We start from the raw sequence: 19,542 nt of genomic DNA, 5'->3' as shown, positions 1-19,542 counted from the left end.
GCGCGCGCAGAGCAGAAGCCAGGCCTGGGCGGGACCCGCAAGGAGGTGGGCGGGGCCTGGACGAGGCAGGGGCGGGGCGCGAGGCGGAGAGACCTTGCGCTTTAGAGCCGGCAGAGGGCGGGGCCGGGGCGTGACCGGTGCTCCTCTCAGCTTCTCTCCTAGCACCTGTTTTCGGGTGGTGAAGGTGAGACCGCCCAGGAAGGCTGACGCATGGACTCAAAAGCCCTGGAATTGTCTGGAACGGGATACAAACTAGAATGTAAAATGCAAGGCCCTGCCTGGGCGGAACGTACGATTTCATGCTGACGGCCCACAGAACAGAACAGAAATCCTCTCCCTTTCTATTCTCCACTCACTCAGGAGGGAGAGTCCACCCCGTGCTCAGCTGCAGAGACTTCCCTAGGGCCTCCCCCTGGGATGCGGGACGGAATGCTCAGGCCAGCCAGGGGCGACCTGCTGGATAAACACAGCAAGGATTCAGGCGCGGGGGCGGGAGCCTGAGTTCCCAGCTACTCAGGAAGCAGCGGCGAGAGGATCGCTGAGCCTGGGGGTCCAGGCCAGCCTGGGCGACAAAGTAACACCCCTCCCTCAGGACTCCCTCCCTCGTCTCTCTCTCTTTTTTTCTCCATTTTTTAACGTTAAAATAAAATTTTGATTGTGTGAGATAGGGATACATTATTCTTTTCCATGTGGATATCCAGTTAGTTGTCCCAGCACATTTGTAGAAGAGATCTATTACTTTCTTTTATTTATTTACTTATTTCTTTTCTTTTATTTTGAGACAGAGCATTTCTCTGTCGCCCAGGCTGGAGTGCAGTGGCAGGAACTGGGCTCACTGCAGCCTCTGCCTCCTGGGTTCAAGCGATTCCCCTGCCTCAGCCTCCGGAGTACCTGCCATTACAGGCGCGTGCCACCATGCCCGGCTAATTTTTGTATTTTTGTAGGTGGGTTCCCCATGTTGGCCAGCTGGTCTCAACCTCCTGACTTCAAGTGATCCACCTGCCTCGGCCTCCCAAAGTACTGGGATTACAGGCGTGAGCCACTGTGCCTGGCCCCCCCAAAATACTTTTTACTTCACTGTCTAATTGTTGAGAAAATATAATTGAAAACAAACAAAAAGTCTTTCTCCAAATGAGAAATCATCTCCACGATGATCATAGAGAAAGAAATTAAAACCATTTCATTAATAAATAAGCCTTAGACCAGATTGTGATGCGAAATACAGGCAAACAGCTAAGAGGTTGAAAAAAGAGAAAGAAACTTTACTGTTCTATACAACCCATTAAGGACATGTTTTCAAGATAAACGCTAATCAGTCCTCAGGGAAGAGGACTTGACAACACTCTTGGTCACACATAGTTCATCCTGACTCTACTTGGTAATGGAGGTGACCATCTGTGTCAGCTAATTAGCTTCATTCTGAGGGACGGGGAGTAACACTAACCCATGTCTTTCTGACAAGTGTGAGTTTTACAACATAGCGACAGGTGCCCTCTCTGGTGAGGCTCCTACAGTCTGACAGAAACTGATATCAGCAGTAAATAATAAAATTTAGAATATATGATTAAGCACAGAGTTTATTTGAACACAAAGCATGAGGATAGCCACCTGGAAACATCAACTCCAAATGAATGGGATCAGCGTTCCCTTAGGTTTCACACACACGGAAAGACAGAGAAGCTTTAGAAGAATCACCACATTTTCCATTCAAGACCAGTACATAGGGTGCAGCAAGGTGATTGGTTATGGATTGATATACTTCAAGGAAGGTTACTTTATCACTCAATATAAAGGGACAATGATCCCAGGAGGTCTTATCTCTGGGGCTGCTTAGTCTTTTTAATTATTTACAGGAAAATTCTCTCTCTCTTTTTTTTTTTTTTTGGACGTAGTCTTGCTCTCTCACCCAGGCTGGAGTGCAGAGGCATGATGTCAGCTCACTGCAACCTACACCTCTCAGATTCAAGCAGTTCTCCTGCCTCAGCCTCCCAAGTAGCTGGGATTACAGGCATCCACCACCACATCTGGCTAATGTTTGCATTTTTAGTTGAGACAGGGTTTCACCATGTTAGCCAGGCTGGTCTTGAACTCTTGACCTCCGGTGATCTGCTCACCTCAGCCTCCGAAAATGCTGGAATTACAGGCGTGAGCCACCGTGCCCAGCCTATAAGTGGCTTTTTTACAGCGAATGCTATGCAAAACTTCTCATCAGTCATCATCATATTCAATAGCATTGCTTTTATCATATCACGGAAACCATTATTCTCATTTGGAACAGTCTGCCATCAACCTTCACAAATGCATATGGAAGCCCTCATGCTGGACTTCTCCTCACCCTAGAATCACCTGGGGGCAGGGTAGTTAATTGAAACAGCATGGATGTTTCCCCCGACACCAATAGACAGACGCTATGGGGAGGGCACAGGTGATGGTAGTAACTGAATATGACCATTTGATCCAACTGGAAGCCTGGGCTGAGAGCCTCTTAGCTAAGCACTGACTCTCAAGCTTTAAGGTGAATATAAGTCATCTGGCACTCCACAACCCACTGTAATAATGTTTGATTCTGCAGGTTTGAGGTAGCATTTATAAATTGGCATCTTTAACAAGTTCCCTGTTAATGCCAATGTTTCTCCCCTCGGACCCATTGTCAGAAGCACTGAGCTACAGAAGGCATGCCCTGCACACCAGAGCCCCTTCCACCCAAATATCTGCTCTCAGCACAGATACTGTTGGTTCCCAGGGGAGACCATAAATCACAGTCTTGAAAAGTCACTTTCTCTTTTTTTTTTCTTTCTTTTTTTCAGATGGAGTCTCGCTCTGTCGTCCAAAGTGCTGGGATTACAGGCTTGAGCCACCGCGACTGGCCTGATAGGAGGTGTTTAAAAGGAGCTTCAAAAGAGGTCAGTGCTCTACACTGAACGAAGGATGGAGGGTAATGGTAATGCCTCCACATTAAAATGACACAAATGCTGCTGTCTTACTGAAGTTTGGTACTTTCTGTGGGATAGATACTTTTCACTTTGTTCTGTGGCTTTGGTAAATTTCAGAAGTCTGAAATGATTGATTTTAGTGACTTTGCGAGTGTTTTCATCATTTTGCAGAGGAGACTTGGTTTCTTGTGGTTTGCATTCATCAGTGTCAGAAGCTGATCTCTCTATTCAATCTTGCAGTTTTAAGTAATGCATTGAACAGTCACATAACAGAACGCTGAGCAGGAGAACTAAATTTCTAGTGTAATCAGAATGGCAGGCACTAAATGAATTATTTTACAATAAGCCTGTGTCCTTTTTATTAACTGTTCAGTGGAGAAGTTTGGAGTCTATAAACTTGTAATAAATGTGGCCTGTAAGAACTACAAATACTGGAAAGCTCTGAGGATGTAATTTCTAATTTGATGAAGAAAACATTCTCTTTAATTAACTTGGCAAGGAGAAGGCTTCAATAAAAAGAAAGGCAACTATGCCTGGGGCGGAGCTGGAGTGGAAATAAGATGGCAGACATTGGACGTCATTGAAGGCCTGGTGATGTGGTTTTAGTCCATGTGCCAAGAGCAAAAAGTTATTTAAAATATATTAGTTAGGGCCGGGTGCAGCGGCTCATGCCTATAATCCCAGCACCTTGGGAGACCAAGGGCGGGTGGATCATATGACGTCCGGAGTTCAAGACCAGCCTGACCCATGTGGTGAAACCGCATCTCTAATAAAAATACAAAAAAATTAGCTAGTGGTGGTGGCATGTGCCTGTAATCCCAGCAACCTGGGAGGCTGAGGAAGGAGAATCACTTGAACCTGGGAGGCAGAGGTTGCAGTGAGCTGAGATCATGCCACTGCACTCCAGCCTGGGTGACAGAGCAGGACTCCATCTCAAAAAAAAAAAAAAGAGTAAAAATATATTAGTTATTGGGGAATATCAGCATATATAAATGTGTCTTCAGGTAAAAGTGACAATAACCTGGATACAGACACATGGAAATAGGAAATTTTTTCAGGTGTTCAAGAGGGAGCAGTGAAATGTAACTTAGTGATATTGGGGCATGATAATGGGAGAAAATATTTCAAACCATATATACCATACCTGTGATAAGGAGTTTATATCCAAAATATATAAGGAACACTCACAACTCAAAAGCAAATATGGTAATAGTAATAACCCTATTAAAAAAGAGCAAAGGGGCTGGGCGTGGTGGCTCACACCTGTAATCCCAACAATTTGGGAGGCTGGGCAAAGTGGATCACCTGAGATCAGGGGGTCGAGACCAGCCTGGCCAAGATGGTGAAACCTCATCTCTACTAAAATACAAAAGTTAGCCGGGCGTGGTGGCTAATCACGCCTCCCCGGAAGGCGGAGGTTGCAGTGAGCCGAGATCGTGCCATCGCACTCCAGCCTGGGCAACAGAGTGAGAATCCATCTCAAAAACAACAACAACAACAAAAAAAAGTAAAGGGCCTGAATAGACTAATCATCTGGAAAATGCCAATCAAAATCACAGTGAGGTATCACTTCACATGTCTTAGGATTGCTATTATTAAAAAGACAAAAGGTAACAAGTGGTGAGGATGCGGAGGAAAAAAAATACCCCTGTACGTTGTTGTTGGGACAGTCAATTGGTAGAGCAATTATTTTTCTTAAAAATTCTAAAAAACATGGAGTTGCCTTACAAGTTATAATTTAATTTTACTCAAAACAATATGAGAATTAAAATTCTTTTTAATTTTAAAAATCAAAATGACCAAACAATCCAGCAATCCTACCTCTGAGTATGCGTCTGAAGGAAATGGGTATTTCCAAGAGCTATCTGCACTGCCACGCTTGCTGCAGTGTTATTCGCATCAGCCAAGGCACGTCAGCCGTATGAGGGTCCTTCATGATGCACGGATAAACACACTGTGAGACAGACAGACAGACTTCTCAGCGGCTGAGAGGGTTTTAGAGATCCTGACACCCAGAGAGGAACTGGGGACAGAAGAGGATGCAGCTTTCCATTACCAAAGCTGAGGAGGTCCGGAAGGAAGAGGAGAGGCCAGTGGGGCTCACCTGCAGGAGCCTGCTGAGACTCCGGAGCATGGTCCGTGGGAACGATTCTGATGCTTCTCAACCACGTGCTTCCTTAGCAGAGAACTGTCTAGATTAGCGGTTCCCAGTGTTTTTGGCACCAGGGACTGGTTTAGTGGAAGGCAGTTTTTCCACAGATGGGGGGATGGTTTCAGGATTAAACTGTTCCACCTGAGATCATCAGGCATTAGTTTGATCTCATAAAGAGCATGCAACCCAGATCCCTCGCATGCACAGTTCACAGTAGGGTTGGCATTCCTCTGAGATGCAGTGGCGCTGCTGATCTCACAGAAGGCAGAGCTCAGGTGGTCACGCGCACTCACCCACTGCTCACCTCCTGCTGTGCGGTCCAGTTCCTAACAGGCCACCCATGGGGACCGGTCTGCAGCCCAGGGGTGGGGATCCCTGGTCTAGATTAGTGCAGCTTGACTTTGGAAAAGAAACAAAAACCCTCTGATGTGGGCACAGCAGCCACATCACGCAGCCCCATGATGCCCAACTTAAGAGCTCCCCGCGGGCCCTCACTGGGTAAGGGAAGTAAGCAGCCCAGATCCTGCTACCCAGGAGACCACCTGCCACCACTTCAGAAAAGCCAGGGGATCTCCCTGCACTCTAGGTCTGAGGCCATTTGTGAAGACGTAGCTCAGGTACAGATTCAGCAGGCACATTCCCCGCTGACCCCAGAGCAGCTTTCTGGCCTCACCCAGCTCCGGGGCCTCTGTGCACCATGGTGCAGACCTTCCAGGCCTCGGCCACCCAGGCACCTCTGTCTTCCTGCTGAGGGGGGCTTCTCCCAGCCCCACTGGTGGGTCCCTGGGGCCCATCCCTGGATGAAGGAGAAGTTCAGAGCTCCTCCCACGACGGAGAGAGGCCCACCTCTTCCCCGGACAGGAGATAACGCCTGTATGCGGAGATGAGAGATTGTAATAAATAAAGACACAGACAAAGAGATGCCACCACGCCCAGCTAATTTTTGTATTTTTAGTAGAGACGGGGTTTCACCATGTTGGCCAGGATGGTTTCGATCTCTTGACCTCATGATCCACCCACCTTGGCTTTCCAAAGCGCTGGGATTACAGGTGTGAGCCACCACGCCCGGCCTGTGCTGCATTCTTAGCATTGCACCATCCAGCATTTGGTGACTATTCAGGGTCAGAAGCTTGTCTCTTTCTGCCTGTTTGCAGCCACACTTCACCCCACCATCCTTAGCACCTTTACCCACCCCTGCGTCTACTGACCCTTCTTGCTGGAATCCACGTACGTTGGTGACTTAAATCCTTGCATGCAACAGGAGTAAAAGAGTTTTAGGCCAGGTACGGTGGCTCACGTCTGTAATCCCAGCACTTTGGGAGGCCCAAGTGGGCAGATCACTTGAGCCCAGGAGTTTGAGACCAGCCTGAGAAACATGGCAAGACCTTGCCTCTACAAAATACAAAAATAAAAATAGCCCATGGTGATGAGGCACACCTGTAGTCCCAGCTACTTCAGAGGCTGAGATGGGAGGATTGTTGGAGCCCGGGGTGGGGAGGTTGCACTGAGCCAAGTTGGCACCATTGCATTCCAGCCTGGCCGACAGAGTGAGATCCCATCTGAAAAAAAAAAGTAGGACTTTCAGTGTCTTCCTCCCAAAAACTTCTAAGCTGATTCCACTTTTTCCCCAGAGCTGCTGCAGTGCGGTGTGGGTGGAGGGAGGGATCAGGAGGTACAGAAGGAAACAGTGACCCCTGCTGGCAAGCACAGCACTAACAAGGCTCGTTTCATTAGCGTTTACCACAGCCTGTTGGCCGCTGTCAGCTCAACCCCATGAACTCAGTGTCAGCTTCGGGGACTCCTTGTCCTTTCCTGCTCCTGCCAGGAAGAGAATGAGCAACAGATAAATCACATTCGGACAGTTCATTTCAATCCTCCCTCTCACACAACAGTCCCATTCAAGGGTTATAGAATGGAGGAATCTTGGTCGGGCACTGTGGCTCAAGCCTGTTATCCCAGCACTTTGGGAGGCTGAGGTGGGCGGATCACCTGAGGTCAAGAGTTTGAGACCAGCCTGAACAACATGGTGAAACCCCGTCTCTACTAAAAAATACAAAATTAGCCAGGCTTGGTGGCGCATGCCTGTAATCCCAGCTATTTGGGAGGCTGAGGCAGGAGAATCACTTGAACCTGGGAGGCAGAGGTTGCAGTGAGCCGAGATCGTACCATTGCACTCCAGCCTAGGCAACAAGAATGAAACTCCGTCTCAAAAAAAAAAAAAAAAAAGAATGGAGAAGTCTTACTGTCATTTCACCTCAGTTTGGGTGAGAATTCGCTGCTTGTTCCAGAGAGCCATTTTCTGCCTACTAACCACGCCAGTGAAGAATCTTTCTACCTTCCTCTTACACAAAGTCATATCTGTCTCAGCATCACCAAAACTATCAGAAATTGCAAAATGTTTTAGATTTTTTTTTGAGACAGAGTATCACTCTTGTCACACAGAATGGAGTGCTGTGGCGCGATCTCGGTTCACCGCAACCACCGCCTCCTGGATTCAAGTGATTCTGCTGCCTCAGCCTCCCAAGTAGCTCGGATTACAGGCAAGTGCCACCATGCCTGGCTAATGTTTTTTCTTTTTTCTTTTCTTTTTTTTTTTTTTTTAGTAGAGATGAGGTTTCTCCATGTTTGTCAGGCTGGTCTCAAATTCTCGACCTCAGTTAATCCGTCTGCTTCGGCCCTCCAAAGTGCTGGGATTACAGGCGTGAGCCACCGCGCCTGGCCAGTTTTAGATTTTTACCTTACTTACAAGCCAACAAGTTAGACTGTCAGTTTATGGATGTTGGCTGAAGGCATGAGATTTCTGGATCCGACAAAACATATATTTTATTATTTGTCACATAAATTACAGCAAGAGCTTCGCATCTGCGCACATTCCCCCATCTGCTCCAAGGGACACAGAAATGAGGTATGTATATTTGTGCACCGTGACTTTCTTATATCGTTTACGTTTCAGTATCTTCCTCTCCAAAACCTCTAAGCTGATTCCACTTTTTCCACAGAGCTGCTCCAGGGCGGTGTGGTTGGAGGGGGGATCAGGAGGTACAGAATAAAACAGTGGCCCCTGCTGGCAAGCACAGCACTAACAAGCCTCGTTTCATAACCGTGTTTATGGGTCTCTAGAGATCAATGAAGAAACATAAACATTGTACAAACATGTCCAATTCACATATTTCTGATAAGATTAGGGGGTTTTGTGTTACTTATCTAAGCAAAGCAAAGCTTGGATACACAGGAGTCTCCACTCATGAGAAGAAAGCGGCTGACAGTTGGGAAACCTGCACTGATCATTGCAGAGATGTTCACCACCAGCTGACTGGGATTATTCAAAAGAGCCAAACAAACTTGAAAGGTGAAGAGAGAGTGTAAAAGGACACAAACGTGCTCACCAGGAGGATGGTTTTGGTAGCTCCGGACTCAGGGGAGGATGTGGGGGACACGCTGGTCCTATGAATGTGCTGGACCCGCCGCTTGTGCCTGTGCAGGATGCAAACGATGGAGCTGCTGCCCCAGAGCATGAGCCCCAGGCAGATCACATCAGGGAAGGACAGCAGTGCCGCGTCAGCGACTCTCTGGTGCCCTCGTGATCAGCAGCAGAACAGTATCCCAGATCTTTTGTCTTCGTGGTATTTTTGTTGCTCCACTTGCCGGTCACGTGCATGAGAACAATGATATTGACCAGGGAGGAGCCAGCTGAGGAACACACAGGAGCCAGCGTGCTTGGGGGCGTTCCCTTTAAGCTCTGCCCACCTGAGCTCCTGGGGCTGATGGTGATGGCCTGGGAGACACTCAGGAGGCAGGTGCTGCCAATGGACACTCCCCTGACAACTCTGTGGACACAAAAAAGAAATTTACATCCAGAATCACTCCGGAAATGCCTAAACCCAAAAGCTGCCATTGTCTGTGGGACTCCTCTAGGGAGGAGGAATAACGTGTTGGCTACAATTAGGTGTCTGATCATCAAATCTGTGGACCTTAACCTGCACCCAGTGATGTAAAAGGACAGATAATGGTAAATAAGATAGAAATTCCCAGGATTCCAAGTACAGTCTGTGATAAGAAGATCATTCCCATGGCCACATCCCAGCAGCCATTCTGTCAGTTCTCACAGGCTGCTACTTATCTTCAGAGACACAGGATCCTGCAGGGAACGTGATGCATGAGTGACATTAAAAAGGCAGCTGGTACTTGGTGGGGGCTGAGGTAGGAGGATCCCTTGAACTCAGGAGGTTGAGGCTGCAGTGAGGCAAGATCGCGCCACTGCACGCCAGCCTGGATGATAAAGTGACACCGTCTCAAAATAAATAAATAAGTAAATATATAAAAATAAAAATAAAAATAAACCCAGCTGAAATGCAACAGAAATAATAAAGTTACTTTCTAGTATGAAGAATTCGCCATATTTGGATGTGTCCTATTTTAAGTGTATTTGCAATGAATTGCTCTTTGCTGTGAAGAACAGACATGTATTCACCTCCATATTCTTCATAATCGATGAGCCAGGTACCACCATTATAAAGACAAAGAGGACTCAAGCACAGAGAGGTGACATGATTTGTGTAAATTCACACCATGTTTGGGGTAGAATGGGGACTGATCTTGTCTGGGCTGATTTCAGAGTGCATTAACCACCATGCTCTACTGTCAAAGCCAGTTAGCGGGGTTCTTCCAATAATGAACATACATATTTAATTTCTATTTTATACCTGGTCTTTATATTTTACACAGGTGACATTTAATTTCATAATTTTATTTTTCACCGGTTTCCATTGACATGTAAAACATTACCCCAGAGGCTGATACCAATTATGAATAAATCTTTAAAGACCTTGATAAAATGTAGATACACTGATTGGAGTATAAAATTACAGGAATCTGCCTCATGACTAAAGTAGGTTTAAAAAGTCGACCCCATATCAGGACAGCCACACAGAGACTCATTTCTTCTTATGCCAGGAAGGAAAGTACGATGGCACCTACCACAGGAATTAATGGACATTCTGATATCATGTCTTAACTACATGACGTGAAACACTAGGGCATCATAAAATAAAGTAGGGTAGAAATTAAATTATCATGGCTGGGCGTGGTGGCTCATGCCTGTAATCCCAGCACTTTGGGAGGCAAAGGTGGGCGGATCACCTGAGGTTGGGAGTTTGAGACCAGCCTGACCAACATGGAGAAACCCCATCTCTACTAAAACACAAAAATTAGCCAGGAATAGTGGCAGGCACCTGTAAGCCCAGCTACTAGGGAGGCTGAGGCAGGAGAATTGCTTGAAACCAGAAGGCAGAGGTAGCAGTGAACCGGGATCGTGCCACTGCACTCCAGCCCGGGTAACAAGAGTGAAACTCCGTCTCAAAAAAAAAAAATAAATAAATAAAATTAAATTATGTCTATTTTCTGAAGGGGGCCAGCCCCTCTACACCTGTGGATGTTTCTTGTCAGTTGGGACGAGAGGCTGAGAAAAGAAATAAGAGACAGAGACAAAGTATAGAAAAAGAACAGTGGGCCCAGGGGACCGGCACTCAGCATAAGGAGGTCCTGCGCCAGCACTGGTTGCTGAGTTCCCTCAGTATTTGTTGATCACTATCTCTACCATCTCCGAGAGGGGGATGTGGCGGGACAATAGGGTAATAGTGGGGAGAGGGTCAGCAGGAAAACATGTGAGCGAAGGTGTCTCTGTCATAAGTAAGTTTAAGGAAAGGTGCTGTGCTTTGATGCGCACGTACACAAACATCTCTGTGCAGTAAAGAGCAGTATTGCCGCCAGCATGTCTCACCTCCAGCCCTGAGGCGGTTTTCTCCTATCTCAGTAAATAGAACATACAACCAGGTTTTACACTGAGACATTCCATTCCCAGGGATGAGCTGGAGACAGATGCCTTCCTCTTATCTCAACTGCAAAGAGGCCTTCCTCTTTCACTAATCCTCCTCAGCACAGACCCTTTATGGGTGTCGGGGTAGGGGTCTTTCCCTTCCCATGAGGCCATATCTCAGGCTATCACATGGGGAGAAACCTTGGACAATACCTGGCTTTCCTAGGCAGAGGTCCCTGTGGCCTTCCACAGGGTATTGTGTCCCTGGGTACTCGAGACTGGAGAATGGCGATGACTTTTACCAAGCATACTGCCTGCAAGCACTTTTTTAACAAAGCACAGCCTGCACAGCCCTAAATCCATTAAACCTTGAGTCAACACAGCATACGTCTCTGCAATGACAGGGTTGGGGCTAGGGTTACAGATTAACAGCATTTCAAGGCAGAGGAATTTTTCTTAGTACAGAACAAAATGGAGTCTCTTATGTCTACTTCTTTCTACATAGACACAGTAAGAGTCTGATCTCTCCTTCTTTTCCCCACAATTTTCAGTTCATATACTCATCAATTAATGAATACATAAATTGAGTAAAACAATAAGTGTTGAGGTGAGTTTTGTAAAAGGTGTTAATATAGAACATATATAAAAAATTAAATCTGTAAGGCATGGAATCTTGTGCATTTGATAAACTGAAATGGTAGATTTGGATTTGATTACATTTATTTATTTATATTTTATTTTTTGAGATGGATACTTGCTCTGTCACCAGGCTGGAGTGCAGTGGTGCGATCTTGGCTCACCGCAACTTCTGACTCCCTGGTTTAAGCATTTCTCCTGCCTCAGCCTCCTGAGTAGCTGGGATTACAGGCATGCGCCACCACGCCAAGCTAATTTTTGTATTTTTAGTAGAGATGGGGATTCACCAAGTTGGCCAGGGTGGTCTCAATCTCCTGACCTTGTGATCTGCCCGCCTCGGTCTCCCAAAGTGCTGGGATTACAGGCATGAGCCACTGCACCCGGCCACATTTATTTATTTATTTTATTATTATTTTTGAGACGGAATCTGGCTGTGTTGCCCAGGCTGGAGTGCAGTGGCATGGTCTCGGCTCACCACAACCTTCGCCTTCCTGGGTTCAAGAAATTCTCCCTGCTTCATCCTCTCAACTAGCTGGGATTACAGGCGCCTGCCACCATGCCCAGGTAATCGTTTGTAGTTTTAGTGGAGATGGGGTTTCGCCATGTTGGCCAGGCTGGTCTCGAACTCCTGACCTCAGGTGATCCACCCGCCTCGGCCTCCTAAAGTGCTGGGATTACAGGTGTGAGCCACTGCCCCGGCCACATTTATTTATTTTTAATTGGCCAATAATTGTGTCTATTTAGGGGATATAATGGGATGTTTTGATCTCTGTATACATTGTAGAAAGATTCAATCAAGCTAATTAACGTATGCATCACCTCACCAACTTACCGAATTGTTGTGATCAGAGCCGGATATTAGACTTTCTTTTAAGCCAGACAACAGCATTACAATTCAAGACTGACAACTGCTATCTAAAACTGATTATTAAAACTTTCCTGTTCCCTAAATGTTGCCTTCCTAACTTCAAGACTGAAAAGAGTCTCACCATAATCAACAGACTCCTTATGTTTTCAATAGAGAAACAATGACTCTCCATTTAGCCCTTCAAAGAGGAGACTTTGAGATAACATTTCTAGCCCCAGAACTGCCACTTGAGGGTGTGGATTCTGCACAGAATTAGGTAATTCTTGTAGATTTATCCCAATCATTTCCAGTATGTGGGTCATAAGGGCATACTTCTAATTATCCTTAAAACTCTTTCTATGATTTGTGTAAAGTAGGCTGAACCACAGATAGATTTTAGAATTCCAGTCTTCAAGCACCTTAAAACCCAGGTTTCATTATCATGTGGATTAAACACCAAAAAAATCATTATTATTGAAGGATTAAACTAAACTACATTAGGAGCTATCAGGGACTGGTATAGGGTCTACAGTCCCCAACTCTCTTTCCTGGCTCAACTCATGCCTCAGGAATTATTCCTCCTTCCTGTGTGGCTTTGACATTAAACTAGTTTCAAACCCCTAAGATTCGCTTTTCTTGATGTGATCACTTATCTGGACTTTTTTTTTTTTTTTTTTTTTCCTCCCACAACGGAGTTTCGCTCTTATGCCCAGGCTGGAGTGAAGTAGAGTGATCTCGGCTCACAGCAACCTCCGCCCCCCAGGTTCTAGCGATTCTCCTGTCTCAGCCTCCAGAGTAGCTGGGATTACAGGGGCCCACCACTAAGCCCGGCTAATTTTTGTATTTTTAGTACAGATGGGTTTTGCCATGTCGGGCAGGCTGGTCTCCAACTCCTGACCTCAGGTGATCCACCGCCCCCCCCACCATTGGCCTCCCAAAGTGTTAGGATTACGGGCATGAGCCCCGATGCCCGGCCATATCTGGACTTCTTATATACCTCCTTCTATTCCATACTCTACCTGTCAAAGTGAAGTATAAAACAGTCACCTCACCCATCCTTCTGTCTGGATGGTGAGCTCAGTGTGCTGGTCATGCCAGTCAGTATTATATGAGAGGGCAGCAGCCAGGCTGCTAGATATGGGATTGTGGTTCTGTGTACTCACCTGCTGTCACAACCGCAATGATCATTTTACCTGTCACAGCTATGACAGTGCAGTCCTAGGATGCTACTATATTTTTATTTATTTATTTAGAGATGGAGTCTCACTCTGTCACCCAGGCTGGAATGCAGTGGCCCGAATAGCTGGGACTACAGGCACCCGCCACCACGCCCGGCTAATTTTTTCTATTTTCAGTAGAGAAGGGGTTTCACCATGTTAGCCAGGATGGTCTCGATCTCCTGACCCGTGATCCTCCCGCCTTGGCCTCCCAAAGTGCTGGGATTACAGGCGTGAGCCACCGTGCCCAGCCAGGACGCTATTATATTTTTAAAACTTTTATTTCCCTGTTATAATTACCAAGAAAACATGTACTAATTCGCGGGTAGCATCTCCAAAGGGATTTTGGAGTGTCTGGGGAGATTCTTTCTTCTCCTTGATCCCTGGAGGCAGAGAGGGTCTCACAAGAAGGAAGCAGGAAATACTGAGCTCTGGTACATCAGGGACTGAACGCACACTACGTATGTCTCAGTGGATTCTCTGCCTCCCTGAGAAGTCTTTCCACCCAAAGTAGATTTCCTTATAATATTTAGACCTTTGATCTTTTAAGTTATATGCAGATAAATGGAATCAGGCAAAGTACCTAAGAAGGATTTTGAAAGACATGAAAGGAAGTAAAAGGAAGAACATGAAGCCGTTAGTTTACATTAGAAATTTTTGAATTCCCACTCTGCTTTCCACAAAATAGACCTAAAGAGAGATATATCCTTCGACCCAGCAATCTCATTACAGGATATATGCCTAAAGGAATATAAATTGTTCTATTGTAAAGACGCATGCACGTGTATGTTCGTTGCAGCACTATTCACAATAGCAAACATGAAGTCAACCAAAATGCCCATCACCCATGGACTGGATAAAGAAAATGTGGTACCTATACACCATGGAATACTATGCAGCCATAAAAAAGAACGAGATCATGTCCTTTGCAGGGACATGGATGGAGCTGGAGGCCATTTTCCTTAGCAAAGTAACACAGGAACACAAACCCAAATGCCACATGTTCTCACTTATAAGAGGGAGGTAAATGATGAGAAGACAGATACATAGAGGGGAACAACACACACTGGGGCCTATTGGAGGGCATAGGGTGGGAGAAGGGAGAGGATCAGGAAATATGATTAGTGGGCACTAGAATTTATATCCTGGTGATGAAGTGATCTGTACAACAAACTCCCATGACACACGTTTACCTATGTAACAGACCTGCACATGTACCCCTGAACTTAAAAGTCTTTTAAAAATGAAAGAAACCTGGTCGGGCATAGTGGCTCACGTCTGTAATCCTAGCACTTTGGGAGGCCTAGGTAGGCAGATCACCTGAGGTCAAGAGTTAGGGACCGGCCTGGCCAACATGGTGAAACCTCGTCTCTACCAAAAAGACAAAAATTAGCTGGACGTGGTGGTGCGCGCCTGTAATCCCAGCTACCTGGAAGGCTGAGAGAGGAGAATTGCTCAAACCTGCGAGGCAGAGGTTGCAGTGAGCTGAGATCACAACACTGCTCCCCAGCCTGGGCTACAGAGCGAGACTTGGTCTCAGAAAAAAAAAAAAGAAAAGAAATCAATGGACACGTGAGCACAACTGAATACCAAATAATATAGAAATTTCATAGAAACGTAGAGTTTACCAATATTTAAATATATATTACTATATAATTATATTGATGTATAGTTAATTATATTGATGTATAGTTATATAACTATGTAAAATAGAGTATTACAAATACAGTTTATCAATATATAGTATACAAATTTCTCTTAACCGAAATATCCCAGACGGTAATAATTTTCTAGCTAGATTGACAAATTATTTTCTCAGTGCAAAAAGGTTTACTGGTCCTATAATGTTGTAGGCAGGTCTCCAACTCCTGGTGCTAATCTTGTTTATGTTACCTGCAAAAAGGAATTTGTCTGGTAATTTATTAATTAATGAAGGCTACTAGTCATTTGAATTTTATTTTATTTTTTGAGACTGAGTTTCGCTCTGTCGGCCAGGTGGGAGTACATTGGTGCGATCTCGGCTCACTGCATCCTCTGCCTCTTGCGTTCAAGCGATCCTCCTACCTCAGCCTCCTGAGTAGGTGGGACTAAAGGCACCCGCTACCATGCCTGGCCTCATTTGACTTTGAAAGAAAAAACTGTGTGTAATGCCAGCATTTTGAAAGGCCGAGGTGGGTGGATCACTTGAGGTCAGGAGTTCAAGACCAGCCTGGCCAACATGGTGAAACCCCATCTCTACTAAAAATATAAAAATTAGCCAGCACGGTGGTGCACGCCTGTAATCCCAGCTACTCGGGGGGCTGAGGCAGGAGAATCACTTTAACCTGGGAGGCAGAGGTTGCAGTGAGCAGAGAAGGCACCACTGCACTGCAGCCTGGTTGACAGAGCCAGACTCAGTCTCAAAAACAAAAAACAAAAAACAAAACAAAACAAAAGAAAGTTATCTTGGATTATCTGGGTGGGTCCTATGTGTCCTTGAAGCAGAAATATATGTCAGAGAGATGCAATAGTGGAGGAAGTCAGGACTCAGGAGCACGAGAGTAATTTCACATGCTGTATTTTGAAAATATGGGGACCAGGAGAAAGAAATGAATTCTGACAACAATCTGAATGAGCTTAGAAGAGAATTCTGCCCCCACAGTCTCAAGAGTCGATCCCATGGCTTTGACCTTGATTTTGGCCTGGTGAGACTAGACAGAGTACCCAGAAAAACCTGACACATTTTTCATCTGTGAACTGTGAGAAAATAAATGAGTGCTGTAGTAAACTGCTGGCTATACTGTGGTAATTCATTAGAAAGTTAATACACACCTCAACAAACGTAATAAAATATTTAAACACTAAAATAAAAAGTAGTCATTTATATCTACACATAATTTTCACCAGTTTGAGGTGTATCCTTCTGCCTACACAATTTCATAGAATATCTAAAATTGCATCTGAAATCACATACAACATATATATGTATATACACACCATTCAGATATTCTGTTCACTATTAAATATTTAAATATATATTTGCAGAGTTACATTTCTGTCTAATTCAATAGCTTTCACCAATCAGTGATGTTTTCTTTTTCTTTTTCTTTTCTTTTTTTTTTTCGAGATGGAGTTTCACTCTTGTTGCCCAGGCTGGAGTGCAATGGCGTGATTTCCGCTTACCCCAACCTCTGCCAACTGGCTTCAAGTGATTCTCCTGCCTCAGCCTCTGGAGAAGCTGGGATTACAGGCATGTGCCACCATGCCAGGCTAATTTTGTACTTTTAGTAGAGACAAGTTTCACCATGTTGGTCAGGCTGGTCTCAAACTCCCGACCTCAGGTGATCTGCCTGCCTCAACCTCCCAAAGTGCTGGGATTACAGGTGTAAGCCACCGTGCGTGGCCAATCAGTGATGTTTTCATAACAGTTGCAATAGATCTACGCATTTTTTAAAATGCCACATCAGATTCCATGGTGACTGTGAATAAACCATGTCATTGCAGCACTCCCTGTTTACACATTGACAGAGCTGAGTGTGTCCATCTGTGCCCTGCCAGAGCACACATCACACCATGTGGATCACACTGATTGAGCACCTGTGGTGACCTGTGTGGTCCTTGGATAGAGGATTATTGGACCATGGCGACTGCACATTCTCCCCAAGACAGACAACTGATAACAGACCTTAGAATAGCCATAAAATGCCACATCCCAACAAATGCGCACCCAGGTAACTCCACCCAGTACTGCCTTCTCTAGGCCCCTGTCATCCCGTAGAAGGCCAGAAAAGAATGGGATTTGCAAGAAAGTCTATAAGGTAGTTTTCACTGGGAGCCCGCAGTTTGTGGAGGGAAATGGGAACTGCTTTATATGGGCTTTTCCCCGGGGGGGGGGGGGGGGGGGGTGTGTGTGTGTGTGTGTGTGTGTGTGTGTGTGTGTGTGTGTGTGTGTGTGTGTGGTGGGGAGGGTCAGTCCATCCTATATCCCCACTGCTGTAGGAAAATGTGGGGGCATCTCTGGGAAGGCACCCGAAGACAGAGTAGAAACTCACATATTGCTCTCCATGTAGCAACTTATCATACCTGGTTCTCCCCTGTGGCAAAGGATTTTTATATCATACCATGTTTGCTGCAAGTTTCTTTTTTTTTTTTTTGAGATGGAGTCTCACTCTGTCGTCCAGGTTGGAGTGCAGTAGCGCGATCTCGGCTCACTGCAACTTCCGCCTCCTGGGTTCAAGCGATTCTCCTGCCTCACCCTCCCGAGTAGCTGGGATGACAGGCATGTGCCACCATGCCTTGCCAAGTTTTGTGTTTTTAGTAGAGACGGGATATCTCCATGTTAGTCAGGCTGGTCTCAAAGTCCCAACCTCAGGTGATCCGCCCGCCTCAGCCTCCCAACGTGGTGGGATTAGCGGCATGAGCCACCGTGCCCGGCCTCTATGTAGCTTTTTTTTTTTTTTTTTTGTCTTTCTAGCTATCTTGTTTAAGAATAAAATGGAAGGCAGGTTTGTCTGCTGCAGTTCCCAGCTTGACTTTTCTCTTTGGCTTAGTAATTTTTATTTTCCTTTCACAAGCTTGTGACAGACATAATGCTTTGACACACTGACATTGTTTTATGTAGATTTTTCCAATATAGTAAAGTCCAAGGGTCTGTCGTGAACTGGGTTACAGGAGACGAGAAGATTCCCAGGAGACTCCTGGTCTCAGCCAATCCTCTCACCTCAGCCTCCCAAAGTGCAAGGATCACAGGTGTGATCCACTGACCCAGTGGAGTTAAAAAAAAAAAAAAAAAAACCTAAAAAGCAATACAGAAACTAAGGTACTCTATGCAATTACATCATTTGACTTTTTTTTTAAATGAAAAGCCTCACATATTTATTACTGAACCCAGCCAACCAACATGTTCCTAACAGATTCAGAGAGAAAAAATATATTCCCAATAAAACATGTCCAACTCTCCAGATAGTGGTGACATTTTCAGCTTGATATGGTAACATGATTGTAATGCTCAGACAGCATAAATATGTGTGCCATCTCACGTGCAATTCCTTATAGACCCAGCTTGATTCTTCTCCAATGTCTCCTTTTAAAGTTGTACCTGATTTTATTACCAGTTTTGATCTGAATCCACTGGGGAATGGAACGGTTTTGCTTTTGTTTCTTGGCCAGGAATCGCTTAATCCTGAAAGTCTTATAAGAAGATCTGGTGAGAGGCAGAGTCAAGTACACACCACAAGGGGAGAGAGGAAGAGAAGAGGCTTGACATCTTTTTTTTTTTCTTTTTGAGACAAAGTTTCGCTCTTGTTGCGCAGGCTGGAGTGCAATGGCGCCATCTCGGCTCACTGCAACCTCTGCCTCTGAGGTTCAAGTGATTCTCTGGCTTCAGCCTTCCCAGTAACTGGGATTACTGGCATCTGCCACCATACCCAGTTAATTTTTGTATTTTTAGTAGAGACGGGGTTTCACCATGTTAACCAGCCTGTTCTCGAACTCCTGACTACTATTTCTGCTGTTACCTGTCAGTCCTCTTCATTGCGGCACAAACAAGGTTAATTTTTTTTTGTAAAACTGATGTGGGCCAGGTGCAGTGGCTCATGCCTGTAATCCCAGCACTTTGGGAGGCCGAGGCGGGTGGATCACGAGGTCACGAGTTCAAGACCAGCCTGGCCAATATGGTGAAACCCCATCTCTACTAAAAATACAAAAATTAGCAGGGTGTGGTGACACTGCATCTGATCTCATCATAAATTTGATGTTTCTTTTTGTTTCAATTTTAGCAGAATTTATTTTACTTTGATAGAGTCTCTTTTCAAACTTATGTCTTATCCTTCTGAGTGCCTTCAACTACAGCCTGTTCAGACATGTTATAACAGACTTGTACCAGTTTAATTTGGTGCAAAAACTGTGAAATTCATGCACAATTTTCTCATAATATGTATTTTTCCATGAACTTCATCAAGATC

At 45.3% G+C, this 19,542-nt stretch overlaps 2 protein-coding genes and 2 pseudogenes across 2 annotated transcripts in view, besides 1 other annotated feature; all 4 read right to left on the bottom strand.

The window, feature by feature from the left end:
• Positions 1–19,542, bottom strand: part of ZNF765-ZNF761 (ZNF765-ZNF761 readthrough) — a 63,113-nt gene that overhangs the window by 26,288 nt on the left and 17,283 nt on the right. The window contains exons 4-9 of the mRNA NM_001350496.2: positions 8,472–8,912; positions 6,827–6,903; positions 6,523–6,644; positions 5,759–5,956; positions 5,038–5,226; positions 4,755–4,887 (exon numbers count right to left, since the gene is read on the bottom strand). The gene's annotated coding sequence lies outside the window, so the exon portion shown is untranslated. The remainder of the gene's footprint in view (positions 1–4,754; positions 4,888–5,037; positions 5,227–5,758; positions 5,957–6,522; positions 6,645–6,826; positions 6,904–8,471; positions 8,913–19,542) is intronic.
• Positions 34–113: a silencer, noted in NCBI's record as "silent region_11010". NCBI's record gives its function as "represses an Ori minimal core promoter by ATAC-STARR-seq in GM12878 lymphoblastoid cells {active_cell/tissue: GM12878}" and the evidence as "EXISTENCE:reporter gene assay evidence [ECO:0000049][PMID:35858748]".
• ZNF765 (zinc finger protein 765) overlaps positions 4,653–19,542 on the bottom strand; it is a 32,173-nt gene continuing 17,283 nt past the window's right edge. The window contains exons 4-8 of the transcript NR_146721.2: positions 8,472–8,912; positions 6,827–6,903; positions 6,523–6,644; positions 5,038–5,956; positions 4,653–4,887 (exon numbers count right to left, since the gene is read on the bottom strand). The gene's annotated coding sequence lies outside the window, so the exon portion shown is untranslated. The remainder of the gene's footprint in view (positions 4,888–5,037; positions 5,957–6,522; positions 6,645–6,826; positions 6,904–8,471; positions 8,913–19,542) is intronic.
• VN1R101P (vomeronasal 1 receptor 101 pseudogene) lies at positions 8,285–9,176 on the bottom strand (annotated as a pseudogene).
• On the bottom strand, positions 18,432–18,834 carry RPL39P36 (ribosomal protein L39 pseudogene 36; annotated as a pseudogene).

The sequence above is a fragment of the Homo sapiens genome, chromosome 19, assembly GCF_000001405.40.
Source record: "Homo sapiens chromosome 19, GRCh38.p14 Primary Assembly".
Taxonomy (NCBI): Eukaryota; Metazoa; Chordata; class Mammalia; order Primates; family Hominidae; genus Homo; species Homo sapiens.
This window is presented reverse-complemented; position numbering and strand designations above follow the sequence as displayed.